The sequence below is a fragment of the Homo sapiens genome, chromosome 2, assembly GCF_000001405.40.
Source record: "Homo sapiens chromosome 2, GRCh38.p14 Primary Assembly".
NCBI classification, from domain to species: domain Eukaryota; kingdom Metazoa; phylum Chordata; class Mammalia; order Primates; family Hominidae; genus Homo; species Homo sapiens.
Window position 1 is genome coordinate 226,971,621 of NC_000002.12, and position 13,386 is coordinate 226,985,006.

Consider the following 13,386-nt stretch of genomic DNA (forward strand, 5'->3'; position numbering starts at 1 on the left):
GCCTTGCAAATATGGGATAAATGTGGCTACTAACATTCAAATATTCAGACAAGTTTCTTGACAAAATCAGAGAGGTGTTTTTTGCCTGTTGTTTCTTTTGGTTTGTTTTCTTTAGAATACTGGACATTTGCTCTAAGTTATCTGTCATGTAATTTGTGTGTTTTGTTGAGATATGATTTTTTTTTTAATCCAAAGGTGGATCTTTGTGGCCTTTCTTCAAAGCTCTAGAATTTGGTGGCAAGGAACTTATTGAACATGATAGAAAACTAGAGAGAAAGCAAAAGCCCACTTTTTTTTTTTTTTAATTTTACTTTCAGTTCTTGGATACATGTGCAGAACATGTAGGTTTGTTACATAGGTCACATGTGCCACGGTGGTTTGCTGCACCTGTCAGCCCGTCATCTATGTTTTAAGCCCCACGTGCATTAGGTCTTTGTCCTAATGCTTTCCATCCCCTTGCCCCCTAACTCCCAACAGGCCTTGGTGTGTGCTGTTCCACTCCCTGTATCCATGTGTTCTCATTGTTCAACTCCCACTTACGAGTGAGAACATGCGGTGTTTGGTTTTCTGTTCCTGTGTTAGTTTGCTGAGAATGATGGCTTCCAGCTTCATCCATGTCCCTGCAAAGGACATGATCTCATTCTTTTGTATGGCTGCATAGTATTCCATGGTGTATATGTGCCACATTTTCTTTATCCAGTCAATCATTGATGGAAAAAGCCCACTTCTTAAGAAAGAAACACAAAGGTGCTAAATGAGAGGAGGGAAGAGAGAGACAGGGATTACCTAAAGAGCAGAGCCATCCTCCTCTTTCTCAGCCCTGCTATGCCCCCTGGAAAAAGGGGTCTGCCCATATGAGTGGGCCTGGGAAGGCTGCTCCACCCAGTTCATCTGGACTCCCAGGGTCACTAGATGGCACCAGGGCAGACGTGGGCCACACTCAAAACCCTGCAGTGCTGCTTCATGGACGGAGCTTCTGGGTCAAGGCAGGAGCTGGAAATGGTGGAACTTGCCCTCCATCTATGAAATTTTTTGAGTCAGTCATTCAGCAAATAATGACTAGACACCTATGATAGTGACACAACAGTGAACGGCACAGACTGGTCTCTCGAGTCCAGGGGCTCTCTGCTCACACTCGGCCAAGCTCTTGCTGTTTAAGGGTGCCTTTCATGAAGTCTATTTGAAATGTTTTGGTTTCTGTCAGTTTTTGGTTGGGTTATAGGTAAGTACACAAGTTACCACATGTATTTAGAAGGCCCAATCCCTCCATTTATCAACTAAAGTTAAAGAAAGGAAGGAAGCCTGTAGCAAAAAAAAAAAAAAAACAAAAAACCATGCAGGTTCCCCCACTGCTATATGATTTTCTATATTTATGTTTTAATTTCTTGGTAGGCCTGGACTTCAAAGTAGAGATTCAGAGCCCTACCTGAGTTTGGGTTGTGCCCTGTGGCTGCCATCCTTCCTCACAGAAGTTCCTCCCTGGACTTCAGCCTCGGGGTTCTTGTTCACTTTCAGTATTTCCTTTTTGCAGTGTGTATGTGTGTGTACGGAACTATATAGTGTTGATTGTCCTTAAATGATCTTCTTCCAAACTCATCCAAACCATTTAATTTGTAGCAGGAATCCCAAAGTATATCCTTCCCAGAGAAAGAATGAGATTTGCCTGGCATCAAGTTAAGGAAATCATTACTCAAAAAAATTGTTTAAGACATTTTCCTGTGCTAGAGATGCTGGTGACCAAGAAGTGGGTGCCTGGGGGAGATGTCTGGGCTCATTATCTGGGAAAGTTGGGAAGTGAGTGTTTGCCTGTTCCTTTTTCCACTCTGTTTCCTCATTGGCTTTGCCATTTACCCAACTGCCCCCATTCTAAGATTGGTGTTTACTGATCAAGAGCAAAGCTCTACTGCCTTAGGAGTAGTTCATAAAATGATTCCTAGATGTAATATTCACTCTCTTCCCTGCCTAGTCCCCTTAGCAAGGACCTCTCTAACATTTTATGTTTGAATTGTTTTCTTCCAGAGACAAAGGTAAGTTAGATCAAGAGTAAACAGATGGAGATGTTCATTCTTGGAAGCAGCAAGCATTTTGTTATCATTGTTATTGTCTGAGCAAGTGAAAACCAGATGAGAAGAGCCTTGACCTGCCTCCTTCACTAGCAGAAGTGAAGTAGGTCGTATCTTTCTTGCAGCATTCCTGTGAGCGTTAGAACAACTCCGGAGCCCATGAGTAAGGCTACTGTGTGTTAGAATTGTGATTCTGCCTGTTCATCCTCCTGGCTGCCCACCCCTGAGAATCTCCTTTTCGTTCGCATGGGCTCTTTGATAGCAGAGTGGCTGCCTCTCTGCAATGAGCTTGAGGGTTTTGTGGGTAAGAGGCCCAGTGCCCCTCACCGCCTTTCCACATGCTTGCCTCCTTACCCAGTTTGTCAGGCTTTGACAGATGGCCGGCGTTTGTCTCACCTGCGATTCCTTTTTGCACAGCACTCGGTGTAACACTTCAAAGAAATAATTAGCATTCTGAGTCTTCTCTGCCCTGTGCATAGAATGTGGGAAGGTTCCGCTGAAGAGGGACTTGAGCCCAGAGTGTTGTATGGGTGTTGCCCTTTTTTTATTTTATTTTATTTTATTTTATTTTTGAGACAGAGTCTCGCTCTGTCGCCCAGGCTGGAGTGCAGTGGTGTGATCTCGGCTCATTGCAAGCTCCACCCCCTGGGTTCACGCCATTCTTCTGCCTCAGCCTCCTGAGTAGCTGGAATTACAGGCGCCCACCACTGGGCCTGGCTAATTTTTTGTATTTTTAGTAGAGACGGGGTTTCACCGTGTTAGCCAGGATGGTTTCGATCTCCTGACCTCATGATCCACAGGTCTTGGCCTCCCAAAGTGCTGGGATTACAGGCGTGAGCCACCGTGCCCGGCCTGGGTGTTGCTCTTTTTAGTCCTGACTGTCAAGGTATTAACTTCTTTAGAGTCACTTTTTCGTTGAACAAGGATGTACAAAAGAGACATCTAGTTATTACATTCTTCTGGTTTGGTTCTAAAATAAATGGGAAGGTACCTGTGGAAGTGATTTGTATAGATTTCCAGGCACCAGGATCCTCTTTAGTGTCCCGCACCCAAGAGCAGGGTGGATACTCCCTGCAGGCTGAGAGTCGTGAACTGTACAGTGCTGAGAGTCGTGAACCATACAGTGCTCACGGTGTCATCGTATAATTGGAGATCACTCTTTTCAGGTACCTCGCCAGTGCGTGGCTCAGGGACATCCTGGAGATCTTGGTGCTCCCATTACCATTTTCAGGCCATGTATCTCTTCCAGGCTGTGCTCCTGTGGCACAGATGAGGCCTAGTTCCACTGCTCTGATGGCCACACGTGAATCAGCAGCAGTGACTCCTTGGTACGTGGAGAGAACTGGGACTCTTAGTGGGTAGCAAGGAAATTATGTTTTTAAAACCACCAGCTCCTCCTTCCATTTAGTTGGCAGTTCCATTTCTAATATAAAATCTTTCAGATCTGAGCTCTCCTAGGGCCTCCCAAGATTTAATATGGTGCCCCAGAATGATAAATGAGAATAAAGAGAAACTCTTCATAACAGGACCATGTAGAAAAGGTGGAATCGATGCCCCTGAGGTAATTAACTTGATTGTGGTACTCATTTCACTACACACACAAACACACACACACACATCTATAAATACATATATAAAATCATCACGTTGTACACCTTAAACTTATACAATTTTATTTGTCAATTAGACCTCAATAAAGCTGGAGGTGAGGGAGGCCCGAACTCAATGACAGTTTGCTTTCCTCAGAATGGCCATGGGGTGAGGGAGGGCCCCACTCCTAGAGGGAGCAACTTCTTGATTTTCCTCATTCTTATTTCCCCCTCGGGCCACCCAGAAGCCAGGCCAGTCCTACTCAGATGATAGAAAACCTTATTAGCCCTCCTAATGAAATGGGCAGTTTGGTACAGAAGAGGGGAATCTGCTTGGATTTAAAGATGGCGTCAAACTATTGTCCAATGCAGGGAAATACATTTATTTCTACATGCAGAAGGAACTCATTAAAATCTGTTAGGCTTGGAATTTTCGACAATGATTTGTACATAAACTCCTTAAGTATTGCCTTGTGTACTGACATATTAAAAGTTATGATGATGCTTAGGAACTACAGATTATTTAGAAAATGTTTGAAAAGAGATAATACACAAAAGCAAGATTTCATTGTCACCAATAGATAGCAGGCAAGATTACCTTGTCCCTCTGAGGGTTCTGATTGAGTGCATTTGGCTGCAGGAGTAATGTAAGTGGCCCCAGGGTTGTTGTGTTCTGTATCTAGATCTGGGGAACAGTCACACTCATGGTTCCAGTTGAAAATAGGTCTCCTGCCCCCATTAGCATAGCAGGGCCTGTCTGGTCACAAGTCCTGGCTGTTTGGTTTGGAGACTATGTGCAGTATGGATTGGAGCAGAGGTACAAAGCCCCAAGTTTTTGGTACTAGGGACACTTGGAAGGTGTGAGAGCACAGCCTGCTCTTCCCTCAAGGCCAGCCCAAACTTAGCAGCCAAGCAGGGCTTCTGGGGCAGTCCAGGTGTGGAGCTCTTGTCCATTGTCACTTAAGTCCTCTGTCACCTTGTCTGTGTCCTCTGGTCATACTAGATCTTGGATATGCCCACCCCCCTGGAGACACCACTAGACAAAGAGAAATGAGGATGTCTAGTCAGTGACTTCCCAAGTCCAAGTCGAGACGTCTGCTTCAGCTGCTTTGACATGCAGCAACATCAAAGGAGCAGTACCCCAATATAGTAACAATTTGTTGTAAATTATCAAAATGTGTGAGCTTTACCCACGCCTCCTTACCTGGAAACCCTCCCCTGCCTTTTCCTCTTCTTTGACTATCCCATCTTCACTGTGTAGGAGACTCACCACCGTATACTGATGAAGAATGCACACAGTTCCGTGTGGTGCTGCTGCTACCTTAAGCTCATCTAGAACACTTAGAGGAAGAGAAGAGACCCCAGTCCAACTTCACACATCAGGCTATTGTCTCATTTTGAGAGGAGGAGAGAAGGGAGGGTTAGGAGTACCTTAACGGGGCCTGGGTGTGGCTTCTAAGTGCTGCAGGCACAAGGTACTATGACTTGGGCCTATCGGGTAGGTGTCTGGAGTGAGGCCTCTTGGCCCTGGGTCACAAGGGCAGTGATAAATTTCAGTGACCACAATACTGCTCTGATATTTTTCCCCACTTGGTGGCATTTTATATATAAAACTGAGGCTTCATTTATTTTGACCCCCTCCTCCCATTGAAAGAGCCATTATCTATTTCTTAGAGGCCCCAAACAAACAGGGTGGATGGCAGAGGCCTCTTGTCTGGCACAAGACTCGGGTTCCTGGTTTACCCTTCAGGCTGGGATAAGGCTGGCCTCACAAGTGAGACTCAGAAACAAGCCACTGCTCTCATGAATGCCTGTCTTCATGGAAAAAGGGATCTTTTTGGTCATTTGTTTCTGTGCCTTTGTTCTGGAAATGAGGAACTTGAGGCCCAGAGAAGTCAAGGAGCATCATTGGATGTCTCGCGTCTCTGGTTTCCCAGTTCAGTTTGTGTCTCCCCTTCGGCAAGCTCCCCCTCCCTTTAGTTTTGCATTTAACACAGTCTTGCCTTCATGACTGCCGCCTCCTTTTTTTCTGTAAACACAAATATGAAGTGTATTTGCTTTGCTTTTCAGCCTTGTCTGCCCCACTGAGTGTCCGAAATAGCCGGCTGGAATTCATGAGAATGTTACGTCTTCAGATGTTTATAATCCAAAAGAATCCCTTATGGTTTTTAATAATAAAACAACTTAGATGTCGGTATTTTGTGTTGGAAAGGCGAGCAAAGTTCACAATGCAGCAATTACAATGCAGTGCATTATGTATAATTTGTAGCCTGCCCCAGGAGCAATGGTGAACCGTGAAACACCATCCTGGCCCTGTAGCATAATTAGCAGGATCAAACGCTGCACAGGGAGAAGCATAATAGTTGTCATCCGAGGTAAATAAAAGTAAGGAAAAGTTCTGATACACCCCAAATTATATAAAGAGCAGCCCCTATATCAGGCTGCAAATATGTCAAGAGTCTTCATTGCTAATTGAAGAAATCTTTTGAGGTTTAGCAGCTCATAAATTCACACTGGGAATTGGCCTATTGTTCTAAGTCTTGTCTTTGGAATGTAACAGTTGTACTTTTATATTGAGTTCCTCCAATAGTACCATTGTAAACATGAAGAGTTTGCATTTTAACGTAAATTTGAACAATGTGGTTTTAAAAGAGTTCACCACATCAAAAAGAGGCTGTTTGGGCATGTTTTATGCATTCTTTTCTCTATAGTATTTAAAGCTATAAATGACTCATAGAAGTATGTTCCATTTAGATCTGTCATGTTGGTGTAGTGTCCTCACTGGAGCTTGTACTGCCCTTATTTTTTTCTACTGTGAGATAATTATCTGAAAACAGGTCTAGGCCTTTTGCCAAGTCACTTGCCCTTAATCTGTCTTCAGATCCATAGAAACAATTCTAGAACGCTGTTACACTTGGACTAAACAGCAACACATTTTGTGCCTTTTCATGATCATCTTTTTTTTAAAATTCAAATATTCAATTTGTACTCTTTTTTCTCCATGTACCAATTACAACCCTTCCTATAGCCTGCTAGCCCCCCATTAAAAATCTCTAATTTTTTGCCAAGCCACTAGTTGGAGTAGAGAAAGGTTGGATGGTAAAGGGAAACATGTGTGTACTGGTGTCCAAAGCAAACTGGCGGAATATGAAGAGTGCTGGGCTTGGATCTGACCCCTGGACATATGGACCATACCGTTTTCTGGTGTGAGACCTCAAGAAACTGCCCACCTACGTCGAGCCTCAGTCTTTACATCTGTATAATGAAGGCAATATTTAGCACTCTACACCTCCTTCCATTCCTGCATTTGTTCATTTATTTGTTCATCCCCAGGCATAGAATGTGGACATAAACCCTCACTGTCCTTGCCCCCATGGAGCTCACAACGCAGTGAGAATGCACGCTGTCAAAATGATTAGATTCACGAGTAATCACTAACCATGGCATCATGTGCTGTGAAGGGAGGGGATCCTGTGAGAGCTTCAGGCAAAGGACCCTCACTGGGGGTGATCAGAGGACACAGTCACTTCCCTGGAGAAGTTGTGTTTGAGCCAAGAGCTAGAGGACATGAAGCAAGGAGAGATGTTTGTTTTTGAAAAGCTCTCCCAGCTACTGTGTGGAGAATGGCTGGTAGGAAGACAGGAGCGAGTGTGGGGAAATGGTTTAGGGTTGTGTTAGAGTTCTTCAGAGGGACAGAAACCAATAGGATGTAGGTATGTATAAAAAAGAGTTTATTATGGAGAATCAGCTAAGTGATTACAAGCAAAGTCCTATGATAGGCCATCTGCGGGCTGGGGAAAGAAAGAAGCTATTCGTGTGGCTCATTCCCAGTCCAAAAGCCTCAAAACAAAGGAAACCTGCAGCGCAGCCGTCAGTCTGAGGCCCAAGGCCCAAGAGCCCCCAAGAGGCCACTGCTGAAAGTCCCAGTGTCCAAGAGCTGAAGAAACTGCAGTCTCATTGTTGTAGGACTTTCTCCTCAGTTCAGCTAAAAACTAGGTTCTTGTCACACAACCAGGAAAGATAAGGCTTATGGACACATAGAAGGGTGAGAAAAGCAGAATTTATTGGGTGAAAAAAGGAAAAAACTCAGCAAAGCAAGATGGTTCCTGTTAACAGGCCCCCATCTCACCAATTGAATCCCAGGTCACCACCCAGGAACAGGAGGGGCCAGGCTCCTCCCCCCTGCAAATGGCTGGAACTTCCCGAGACCCCACCCCATCCTCCCATTGCACAGGTCAGTTGGAGATTCTCTAGGAGCCCGTTTTACTTGGCTGGCTCATCATATTCAAAGGCAGGAGGAGAGGAAGCAAGCATCCCGCACAGGAGGAGAGAGGAAGAGCAAGAAGACTCAGCAGGCTGGGTACCCTTCTACCGTCTGCCCTGTTCTAGCCATACTGGCAATCCACTGGATGGTGCCCACCCACATTGGGGCGCATCTTCCTCTCTCAGTCGCCTGACTTGAATGTCGGTCAGTCTCTGGCAACTTTCAGAAACACCCAGGAGCACTGCTTCACCAGCCATCTAGTCATCCCTCAAGCCAGTCTAGTTCACACCTACATTAACCATCACAGCGGTTTAGGCACTGGTCTAGGCCCATGATACAGGTGACTCAAACATAGTTGGTGACAGGACAGATAGAGAACAATGGACAAATTTGGGAATGTTCAGGTTAAAATGACAGGTTTTGATGGATTGAATTTGGGGACAGGACGAGTGGAAGAGGAAGGTGTCAAGGAAGACTCTAGGGTCTGGGCTTGTGTGACTAACCAGAGGGATAGTGGGGGCATTTCTGAGAAGGGCAGCCTGGAAAGGGGGTCATTAGTGTAACAGTCAGCACCACTTACCTTTCATTGCTTTGACCCAGGTGCTCATATCCTTTAATTCATTTGGTCCTCAGAACACACCCATGAGCTAGATTTTACAGATAAGAAAATTGAGGATCAGTGAATAAAGTAGCTTATCCTAGGACACAAAATAAGAGGCAAAGCCAGTATTCAACCTCAGCTCTTTCTGATTCAGAACCCATGCCCTACTCTCGTTCCCCACCAGAGCGAGGTAGCAGAAGGGCAGCTTTGTAAGACACCGGTATCCACTCCAGATTTGGTAAGCAAGGTTCTAAGCAGAATGAAATGCCTGGAAGAGAAAACGGGAGATTTGGGGTGTGGTTCTGTGCCTCTTAGCTCTTAGGAAAACCATTTACCTTCTCTGAACTTCCATTTCCCATCTCTGACATGAGCAAGTCAGATCTACCATCCTGAAGACACCCCTCGTGTTCTGGAAATGCATGATATTTATGATGTCATCCTGGATGCATCTCATACACAGTCTCCCATCCACACTTAATTAAATCTGTAGGGTTCCTTATGGTCTTAAAACCATATAGTCCTTTCTCTGCTAGCTTTTTATCTGGCCAAAGCACATATTTAGATACTTCCAATGAAGTTCAGAGAGCAACATATTCCTCTTCCCTTATCTAAATCTTCAGTTACCCAAGATGAGCCTAATTCTAGGTTCCTAACTTGGGATTGATGTTTAAAAAATTTAGTTCTGGAGTTTTCTTTTTCTGTTCATAAAATGTTTTATTTTACTAGAATTTATAAATAATTAATGTCTATTAATAGGCATGTAGGAATAACTCATTTTTTGTTGTTATTGAATATCTCTCCGTAGCAGAGACCATTTTAAAATAATTTCTGAGTTTAATTCTAGTTCAGTTTGAGACTGAGGCAGGCCATTTCAAGGGTGTAAAACCAGTCTGAGACACTCCTTGGCCTTCCTGAGGCTGGATGGGCTTGTTTGTAAGAGATGTTAGGTTTCCATCACTCTGAGTAAACTATCACAAGGACAGAAAACCAAACACCGCATGTTCTCACTCATAGGTGGAAATTGAACAATGAGAACACTTGGACACAGGGTGGGGAACATCATACACTGGGGCCTGTCATGGGGTGAGGGATGGGGGAGGGATAGCACTGGGAGAAATACCTAATGTAAATGCCGAGTTGATGGGTGCAGCGGGCCAGCATGGCACATGTATACCTATGTAACGAGACCACACATTGTGCACATGTACCCTAGAACTTAAAGTATAATAAAAAATAAATAAATAAAGGAGCTCATTGAACTTCAAAAAATTTTTTAAAAAAGGAGCTCATTGAACTTCAAAAAAAAAAAAAAGATGTTAGTTTTCAGTCACAGGATTGTCTCCTGCCTCTGTAGGTTAGCACACACAAGCACACACTCATGCAAACACATGCAGGCACACACATCCATGCACTCATCCACATGCACACACATACACACACACACACACACTTTCTCTAATGGGGAACAAGATTAGGATTTGGGAGAGGGATAATGAGTTAATCAGACCTAAAAGAACACACAAAAAGTGGTTAATTAGACTCAGGGTTAAATGCCATCAAATACAGAAACAGGCGTGGTTTTAAAATGACCATCATACTTCTCAGACAGTTTTTCACATCACAGAAACTGGCTTCCCAGCCACCACAATTCTAGGCTAACTCTGACCCACATAAGAATTTCTCAGCTCTGGGGTGCAGAGAGCAAGGGCTCCTGCTTGTTTGTGCATTTCTCCAGATGGCTTCTCACTGCCACGTATCTCATGGAGCTTATCTACTCCAAACAGATAAAGGTTGCATCGCCCTCATGGTCCAAGTTATCTAGACCTTTGTGGAGAAGCCCACCCTGGTTTCCTAAACCACAAGCTGCTGCCTCTCAAAATTCATGGCTATCATACTTTTGATAAGTATATCATTCCTCTTTCACATATTTTCAACTTCCCCCCGCCCTCTTTTCTTTTCTTGCCCAGCAAGCACACATCTGGCCACAGGCCTCACATGTGGTAGGGTTGGGCTGGGAGGTTCCCAGTGATTCCCTCAGCCCTGCCCCTAATGATTTGGTTACCTTTGATACCAGCCATAACTCACTCTAATTGCAGGTTTTTCTCAGAGCAGTTTGTCTTCCTCTAGTTCCACCTGCAAAAGATGGATGCCAGGTGGCTGTCAGCTTTAATAAGGGCTTTGGACCACTGTGTTCTCCTAGGCCGCAGATAATCTCAGGGACAATATCCTAGGTCAGGGATTGTTTTTGTAATTATGCATTGATATTGGTATTTCTGGACCTGTAGTTATATACTAATCAGGCTTATGGTAGTTAAAAAGTAAAGATAAGTTGAACTTTTAAAACATTTAAGACAGCATTCAGCATCAATAGATGTAATACATCTCATATCTCAGCCTGTTTCTAGCTACTGAATGTTCTTTAATGTGGCCAGAACCCCAGAGCCCAGGCAAAGCTTGTGAATTTCATAGACAAAACAAATAGACTGAATTGTGTTCCAAAGTATATGAGTTTGTAGCCCCCACTCACCTGTTCCTCACTATTTGTGTCTCGGGATTTGAGAGCTATTTAGTGGCTGAGGCCAGAAATTGAAATTTGCCCTAATGGTGTGTTAGCTTGTTCTTTCATTCATTCCTCAAGCATTTATGATGCACCCACTATGTACCAGGCACCAGGGATCCAGAGGTGAATTCCCTTGTTCCTAGGACTGGGTGAGTGACACTGGGCCAGTTTCTTCTACTCCAGTGTCATCACAAATAGAATTTTAACTAACGATTGTATTTGTTGTGTTTTTCAGGATAGCTGGGTTGCACTTTTATCTTTTAAAATCTACATCATCCAAGGTTGAGCATAGCATAACCTAGGAAACTACCAGTCTTTGACTCATAGTAAATGTCACCAGAAACCTACTTGTACTAAACCAAATGCCATGCTAGTGCAAATGGTCAAAGGCAAACATAACCACAGAACACACTATGGCATTCCTGTGATCAGAGTTTCTCAAAGTGGGGCATGTGGGCATCCAGCTCACTTGAGGTGCATGTTAAAAAATGCACATTTCTGGGTCCCCCAACAGACATTGATCTGGAATCTTCCATTAGAACCCTAGAATCTGCCTCTCACCAAGCTCCCCGACGTGGATTTGAGAATCACTGTTCTAAATCCAGCATCTAGTATTTAGCCCTTCGAAGCATGCTGTGTTTTCTGCGGGAATGTGGCACGGAAGTATTGGGTAGCTGTGGGACCTGGGGCCAGTTATGTGGTTCACTTTATTTGCTGCTAGTCAGTCAGGCCACCTAGCCTAGGGGCCAGCCACCTCAATCCATTTCTTTTCCCAGGCCCAACAGCCTTGTTTTACAAGACACATGGTTATCTGCAGTAGTTGTCCAGGGTGACCTAAACTTGACCACTCGGGGATGGTTGTTCTCAGCAGAAGTTGCCAACTTTTTGTCCCTTTTCAAAGTTCTTTTCCCACTGGCTTGTCTTTTTTTTTCCTTATTCCTTGAATGCTTGGGATGATGTTTACTTGTACTTTTTTTCACGTGCAAAGGTTAAGGAGTGTTTTAAGAAGATTGAGGTTTCTGAGGGAAATGTTGGCTAATTTCAAATGGTCTTTGATTTCAAAAGTCAATGAAAACATTCCCTTGATCCTTGGTTTGAAGGACTGGAAATTGGGCCATCTCTCTGGTTTGAAACTCAAGTGGAAGGGAGTGAGAAAAAAATAAAACAGGTCTAAATATTATCAAAAATGCTTCTTTATACCTTTAGCTGAACAGAAGATTTGAGAGCCTGGGCAAAACGCAATGGTGTGGGGGATCTTGTTATTTGTGAATGGAGGAACTGTCCCTGCTCGTATAGGAGGGTGAGCCATGCAGCTGGCATTGTGTCCCTTGGAGGGAGGGAGCTGCTGTCTCCGGCAATTATGAAGCCACCACTTAGGACAGAGTCCCAAGAAAGATGTGCTTTCTTCTCCACCAGAAAGCACATCTGTTCACCGCTCTGATCACTGGGGGTCTGCCCAGCAGCTGTGACAGCCAGCACCTGCTGAACTACCAGTTGCCAAGCTGCCAACTTCAAAGATGCTGTCTTAGTCAGTTTAGGCCACCTTAACAAAATACTACCATGGACCCGGTGGCTTAAACAACAGAAATTTATTTCTCACGGTTCTGGAGGCTAGAAGTTCCAGGTACTAATATGATCAGGTTATAGTGGGGTCCCTCTTCCTGGATTATAGATGGCTGCCTTCTCACTGTGACCTCACATTGGCAGAGAGTGCAAGCTCTGGCCTCTTCATTCCCTGATAAGTTTACCAATGCCATCACGGGGGCTCCACCCTCATGTCCTCATGTAAACCTAATTACCTCCCAAAGGCCCCACCTCCACATGCCATCACATTGAGGGTTTGGACTTCAACGTATGGATTTTGAGGGAACACAAATATTGAGTCCATGACAGCCTTCGTGACCTCTCTGAGCCTAGGCGGACCAGGCAGAACAGCAACAGCTAACGCCCTGGGGTCGTAGGCTAAGGAATTAGAAATATTCTCCTGAAAGGAACCACTGGTGCTGGAGACTTTTGCAGATTCCTAGAACTCATGGAATACTCAATTTATAAGCCCTGGTCTTGTACATTCACTCAGTGCTAGGCCAGAGAAACCCCCAAGTCAAACCAAGTTCTGAGTGTCCTTAGACAGCAGTGTGCACTCTGAACCAGGCATCAGGCACAGTCAGAATGAGAGCTAGATGGGCCTTTTATCTCACTTCCGCCCTTCTGATGCTCTCCTGGGGGTTGGGGTGGGGGAGGGGGAGGAGGGGCAGAAGCAAAGAGGAGGATTGGGGGCAAGTACAAGTGGGGGGTTTGAGTGAAAATGT

At 44.6% G+C, this 13,386-nt stretch overlaps 2 protein-coding genes across 49 annotated transcripts in view; one reads left to right on the forward strand and one right to left on the reverse strand.

Moving 5' to 3' along the window:
* The window catches only part of RHBDD1 (rhomboid domain containing 1), a 199,052-nt gene that overhangs the window by 171,462 nt on the left and 14,204 nt on the right, over positions 1 to 13,386 (forward strand). The window lies entirely within an intron of this gene.
* COL4A4 (collagen type IV alpha 4 chain) overlaps positions 1 to 13,386 on the reverse strand; it is a 197,129-nt gene that overhangs the window by 4,261 nt on the left and 179,482 nt on the right. For 2 of the 18 annotated variants that reach the window (XM_047443250.1, XM_047443245.1), the window contains 2 exons: positions 8,497 to 8,563; positions 7,367 to 7,678 (listed from right to left, as the gene is read on the reverse strand). The exons of 1 other annotated variant lie outside the window; for it this stretch is intronic. In XM_047443250.1, the coding sequence (XP_047299206.1) occupies positions 8,535 to 8,563 (29 nt within the window). In that variant the 3' untranslated portion in view covers positions 7,367 to 7,678; positions 8,497 to 8,534. 15 more of the 18 variants (XM_011510569.3, XM_011510561.3, XM_011510567.3 and 12 more) reach the window with 9 other exon arrangements.